This window comes from Homo sapiens, chromosome 22 (assembly GCF_000001405.40).
Source record: "Homo sapiens chromosome 22, GRCh38.p14 Primary Assembly".
Lineage (NCBI taxonomy): Eukaryota > Metazoa > Chordata > Mammalia > Primates > Hominidae > Homo > Homo sapiens.
In genome coordinates this window covers 46,122,822-46,129,178 of record NC_000022.11, presented here as the reverse complement: position 1 = coordinate 46,129,178, position 6,357 = coordinate 46,122,822, and positions in this window count along the sequence as shown.

Here is a 6,357-nt window from a genome sequence, read left to right as displayed (position 1 = left end):
TTGGCCCTGTCCACAGGGCTCCATCTGGTTCAACTGACTCCAGGAGAGGCCCATTGTGGGTGTGGAGACACAGGGCTGGGGTGCCAGGAGAAGGGGAGGGAGTGACTTAGGTGATCTGGGGCTAGGGAACCAAAGGAGGGGCACCCTGGGGCCTGTCCCCCATCAGCTGGAGTACTGAAGCTTTATCAAACCCCAGCCTCACTCTCCACTGTGTGGCTACTAACTCCGGCAGAGGCCCAGAGACAGTGGGGGTCTTGCCTGAGGACGCGCGGCCAAGCTGGGGTGGGCCTGCTGGTCTCTCGGCCTCAGGGCTCTGTTCACACCAGGTGACAAAGCCCACTCTGGCTGCAGGAGCTCACTGGGGAGGTTGAGCACCTGCCCTCTCGTGTGGCAGTTGGGCGCTGCCACATGGGGCTCCTGGGAGCTGGGCTAGGTGATCTGAGGCTGGGTCCTAACCCCAGCGTAGCAGGCAGTGCAGGAGCGACCAGTGGACAGACAGGAGGAGCGAGGCTTGCGCCTTCTGTGTCCTGAGACCCTGAATCTCGAGGTAGAGGCATTAGGGCCAAGCCTCCCTGCACATAGGTGGAGCCAGGACGGGAGCCCCCATCTCTCCTAGCCCACCTGCCCTGTTGCTGCCACTGGGGATGCCAGCAGGGACTAGGAGAGCAGCTGCCCATGGCTCGAAGCCTTCCAACTCGTGGGCAGTGGCCCACCTGGTCAGAGGGGCGAGATGGGTGTGGGCAGTCATGTGTGGTCACAGGGGGCCACGGCCAGGCCCTCTGCAGCTGAGGGCCCCACCTCCCACACTCTGCTTTGGGTCTGGCCCCATCCACCCCTGGGGTCCCAGCTGGGGGGCAGTCTGGCCCCAGCCTGTTCTCAAGATGCTGCCCAGGGACACCTGTGGCCCAGCCGCATGTGCTCAGGAGGAGGATGGGGCTGGGGGTCAGGGCTTGGGGGCTGGGGTGTGGCGAGGTGACTGCTAGCCTGGCCTCGGGGAGGTTGGGGCAGTGCTGCAGAGGAGCTCAGCTTTAACTGAGTGGGGAAAGTGGAAGAATGAGCCGGCGGTGGGGATGGGGTGGTGGGGGAGTGCTCCAGGCAGGCGGGTGGCAGGGCCAGGGCAGGGGAGGCATGAAATGATCTGGGGTGCCTGGCAATGCCAGTGGCTGGGTGTGGCCAGGGCCTGACGGGGACAGGCAGCTGGTGACACAGGTGGGGGACCCTCAGGGAAGCAGTGAGCAGAGCCGGCAGGGCTGAGTTTCATGAGGGCACAGAAGGGGGGCCCAGTTTTCTCCCTGCTAGCCCCAGCCTGTCGGGAGAGGCTGGAGCCCAGGAGATGGAGGCAGGGCTGTTGGGCGAGGGTTGGGTGGGTGACGGTCCTTCCAGAGACGGAAGAGCAGGGCCTGGTCAGGGAGAGGCTGAGGCATGCCTGGAGGTGTCGCTTACCACAGGAAGGGACTTCAGGAGGCTCCACCAGGGGCAGGGGCTGCCTAGGTCTCGAGGTCGTGGGTGTGGGGCCGGGTAGGGCACCCTTGCCCCCATACAGCCTGGGCAGCTGCCCCTGTGCAGGCATCCAGGCAGAAAGGGCTTTTAGTCTTGTACTAGGAGTCGGCCCCAGATTTGGGGCAAGGGGTTCCTAACTTAATCCACCCTAGCTGAGGGTGTCACTTTGGGCCACCTGGCACCCTCCTGGGCCTCAGTATCCGCATCTGTCCAATGGGTGCTGTCCAGCCAGTAGTGGGGGTCACATGGGCTGACCAGGGTGAGGTCAGGGGCAGGGGCGGCAGGAATGGACAGGAAGTATCATAGTGGTCCAAAGGGGGTTCCTGGAGGAGGGGTAGGGGCTGCGAGAGGAAGGGGAGCCGTGAGGGACAGTGGCCAGGGCTGTGCTGGGGAGCCAGGACAGGGGACAGACTGCAAGGCCAGAGCAGGGGCCGGGAGGAGTGGACACTGGTCCTGGTAGACCAGGACCTGCTTCTTCCTTCAGGTGGAGGGGCCACAACCTCTTCAGCCCATCCCCCGGCCCGTGCCAGCCCATGCAGAGGGTGGGCAGCAGGAGGATACACAGAGCTCCCGCCACCTTCAGGCCTCTGCGCCTGTTGCGTCCTCCACTTGGGAAGGGCCTCTCTTTTTCTCCTCCGGGAACTCCTACTCATCCTTCAAAGCCCAGATTGAGTGTTACCTCATTTGCCTGCCTCACTTAGTGACAGATGCTCACTTGGTGTCAGCTCTGCGTTGTGCATGGGCTGGGCACAGGTGCACAAAGGAAAGAGGTTCCGGCCAGACCCACAGCGTGGCTCTCTCTGGCAGCCACATGGCAGTCGTCATCTGTGTACTTGTGGGTCTCATTGTCTGTACAGGGCTCTTCTGAGACTCACTGGTGTGTCACTCAGTGTGGTGGCACTGAGATGCCAAGGTGGGGGTGGGGGAACCTCGGGGGAGGGGCCCCTGGGCAGGGAGGAGCAGCCTGTGCCGAGCTCCAGCCTTTCCGGGCAGGTCTCTGCAAAACACTCCTGACCTTTCTCCTGGGGCGGCGGCCCAGGGCACACGACGAGGTTCTGAACTCATGGGTCACAGACACGCCTCTTGTCTGTGGGGCTGGGCTGAGCCCCACATGTGACTTGGGCGCCTGCCTTGTGGAAGGCCTTGTGCCGTCACCCCTCCAACCCAGCCTTCCATGGAGAGGTTCAGAATGGATCTCAGGGTGTGGCTGGTGACAACACACCCTGAGATCACACAGGGAGTGACAGCAGAACCAGGGGCCGGGAGCATGGCTGCGGGGCAGCAGTGAGCACCGCGGCCAGGGGTGTGTGGGCTGGTGCCACCGAGCCTCTGTCCTACCTGCTGTGAGCCTCAAGACTGGAACATTCTCCTGGCCCCTTCTGGGCCAGGGCCAGCTGCAGCCTGCCCAGCCCTTCCAGTGCCCCCAAGAGAGGACACTGAGCCTGGTGGAAGATGCTGCTCCCCGGGACAGCAGGGCGTGGGCTGTGCAGCGCCGGGACGGGCACTTGGGGAAGGTGTCCGTCTGCATGGGACGTCTTGGCTCATCTGGGAAGGGAGCATTGAGAGCTGAGAGCAGGGCCGGGGTCCAGATCATCCCAGGGCGGGTGGGGCCTGGGCTGAATGAGCCAGCCGGCCCGGCTCACAGCCACCAGGCTTCCTCTGGGCTCCTGAGCGCTCAGTGCCTTGGTTCGGCTGTGTAGAATGGGGCAGGTGTTACCAAGGTCTGGTCCAGGGCTGCCAGAGGCTGGAGGCTCTTGCGGGCTGCCTGTGGAGCCATGGCGGTCAGAGGGTGGAAGACGCCACTCTCAGGCGATACTCTGAGACAGGTGGGAGGGCACATGGCCCGCCCAGGGGTCACTGCCAGGTCCACGCTGGCCTGGCCTTGCAGTGGGTGCTGTCCCCTTCCCAACACTCTGGCCAGTGGGGCCGTAGACCTGACCCTCAGCCCCCATGCAGAGCTGAGCCCTGGTGAGGCTGTGTTCAGACGAGCTTGTCCTTGGCTCTGGGGACAGAAGGTGAATCTCCAGCCCACCAAGCCACAGGTGCCATCTTGCTTCTCCACAGCTCTAGGTTGCTCCAAGGAGCCTGCTGCATGGTGCCCGTTCCACTGGACTCCACGGTGAGCCCCAGGAGCAGCTGCCGGCTCCACCCACTGGGTGTCCCCTGTCTCTCCCACTGCCCCTCCAGTGGGAACCCTCAGTCATTGGCTCAGGGCTGAGCATTTGACCCAAAGCCCCGCCAGCCAGAGGTTACCTGGCAACTTTTGTGGGGTTGTTTGGAAAGGGGGAGAGAGAGCTTTGCACTGGTGGGAGCTAGCGGGATGGAGGAACGGCAGGCTCTACTGCCTCATGGGGACCCTGCTGAGGCTGGGGCCCGTGTGGTAGAAGCCCTGAGGGGAAGCACCCTTCGATCCAGCCACGCCTGAAGCTGTACCAATTCCTGGATTTTTATGTTATATAAACAAATAAATCCTCTTCTGGGCCTGCGCTAATTTGGTTTGGGTTTCTATCCCCTGAAACTAATGCTTCCCCACAAATTCCGTGTCTGACTCTAGGAAGGACTTGCTTCTTCAGGGGTGGGTGCTCCCTGGTGCCCACAGAGTCTGTTGCCCTCCCATCCCATCAGTATACCACATAGCAACACTCACAGGCTCCATGACAAACACACAGTCACAGAGTGTGGATTTGGGGCTTCTCACTGCTTTTCCTACTCTGGCAAACTCCTACTCATCCTGCAAAACCCAACTCAGGACTTCCGTGCCCCAGGAAGTTCTCCATGAGCTCATCCCCCTTGCCTTCCCCTCACCCCACACTGTCTGGGTCCTCCCTCCTATCCCATGCTCCCAAGGCCCTGGGCATTCCTCCCTTGACTGAACTGTTCCTGGCCCATGCCATGTGTTGAAGGAGATAAGAGTTTTGAGGGCTGCACCACCACGCTGATCGCTTGAGGCAATGGTCATTCTGTCACGGCCAGTCTGCAGTCAAGGCTGCACCGGGCCACGAGCCCCTCCGCCTCCAGCTATCCACAAGTGCCCATGATGCCAGGACTTGGGGATGTCTGGGTACAAGTACAGGGGCACAGAGGACAGCCAGTGGCCAGGAAGCCTCTGGGGCTGGTGGAGGTGAGGCTGGGTGTGCCTGTTTGTGCAAGTGTGTCGGGGCCTCGGGCGCTCCTGACGGGCATCTTCTAGGCTGTGGGACCTTGGGAAGGTTTCTCTGCCTCCCTTCACCTCAGTTTCCTCATCATTAAGTTGGGGAGGTCAGATGTCACAGTCTGTGAGGCAGCCCTGCATAACACCAGGCCTGGTGTTGGTGTGAGCAGAAGCTGGCAGGTGGGATGGGGTGACAGGATGGAAGGCCCAGGGCAGTGGCGAGCCAAGGACGGGGCCAGCAGGAGGTTGTCTGAGGCGAGGACCTCCCGGGAGCAGCGGCCAGATGCCCTGTCCTCCAGGGTGGCAGGGGAAGGCTGCAGGGAGAGGGTTGTCCCTGAGAGGGAGCCCCTCAGCGCTAGGGGAGATCAAGCTGAGGCTGTGAGCCAGGTTGGGGAGGGCTCCTGCCATCCAGTCCCTCTGGCTCCAGCAGTTTGGTGTCTCTGGCCAGTAGACCCTGTCCGGGACTGGGCCCTGCGCTGGGCAGGACAGCAGTGGCCTTGGCCTTGACCTTGACCACTTCAGGACCACCTCCCCCAGGCCCAGTGAGACGGCCCCGCCCATCACCTCCAGACAAGGCTGCCCTGGCTGGGATTCGGCCCAGGACATCAGGGTCAGAACAGAGCAGCAGAGCCCACTAGGCCCGGCCGCAACTCCCAGCCCACTCCCCTGCCTGCCATCAGGCTCCCGCTGTGCCAGCCAGCAGCCACCCTGCCCACTGCTGATGGGGCAATCTCACCCTTGGGCCACCTGCCCCTCACTGAGGCATGGGTCGGTCCAGCTGGGAGAGCTGGTGGTTCCCCTGCCCTTGGGAACCCAGCTCCCACCAGCTGCCAGGGCCTCCTGCCCACCCTCCCACAGCCGTTCCCACACCCCGGCCCTCCCTGCTGCTGTCTGCCCCTGATCTCCCCGAGACTCTCTTGAGGATGTCTCCCCGAGGTTGGAGACTTGCCCAGGGTCACCCAGCCGTCACCATGCTGGGCGCAACAGGCAACAGTGTTTACTGCCTCGCACTCCTATGGCTGGCCCAAGGGAAGGGGGGAGCAGGGAAGGCCCCTGTCTCTGGGGGACACCACGGTGTGACCTGGACTCATGTCTCTGGGTCTCGTGTCCTCATCTAGAGCACAAGGATGGGAGATTGGACCTCGGTCTCTCCTGGGATGAGATGGGATCATGTGAGTCACCTAGAGATGCCTCCTGCCACCCGGCAAGTGCCAGACCACGGGGCTTCCTCTTTGTTCCTGTCTCTTGCCATTTCATCTGCTAGGTGTGACCTCGGGCCACACGACCTTCTGCAGCCGGGCATGGGGCAGCACCCTCCGCTCTGCAGGCGGCCCTGGTGGGGATACCCTGTGTGCAGGGGCTGGCACCACCGTTGGGGCAGTGGGAGCAGAGGGCGGTGCTGACAGGAGGGGGATGTGCTGGGCCTCCTGGCCTGGCCTGTGGCCAGCCTCACCCACCCACAGAAGGGGTGGGATTATTACCTGTTTTACATATGGGGAAACTGAGGCTGGGAGAGGCAGAGGATAGCAGAGCCCAGGGCTAAGTGGAAGCGAGAACAGAGGGAGGTGGGGTGAGACCCCAGCCTGGCAGAACTCCTGCAACCCCACTGGAGGGGTGAGGGGCTGGCCTCCTACACACCCCTCCACCCACAGCCCCCAGCCGTACCCAGCTCTGTGCCCGCCCGGGGGGGATATGGCTGTCCGAGC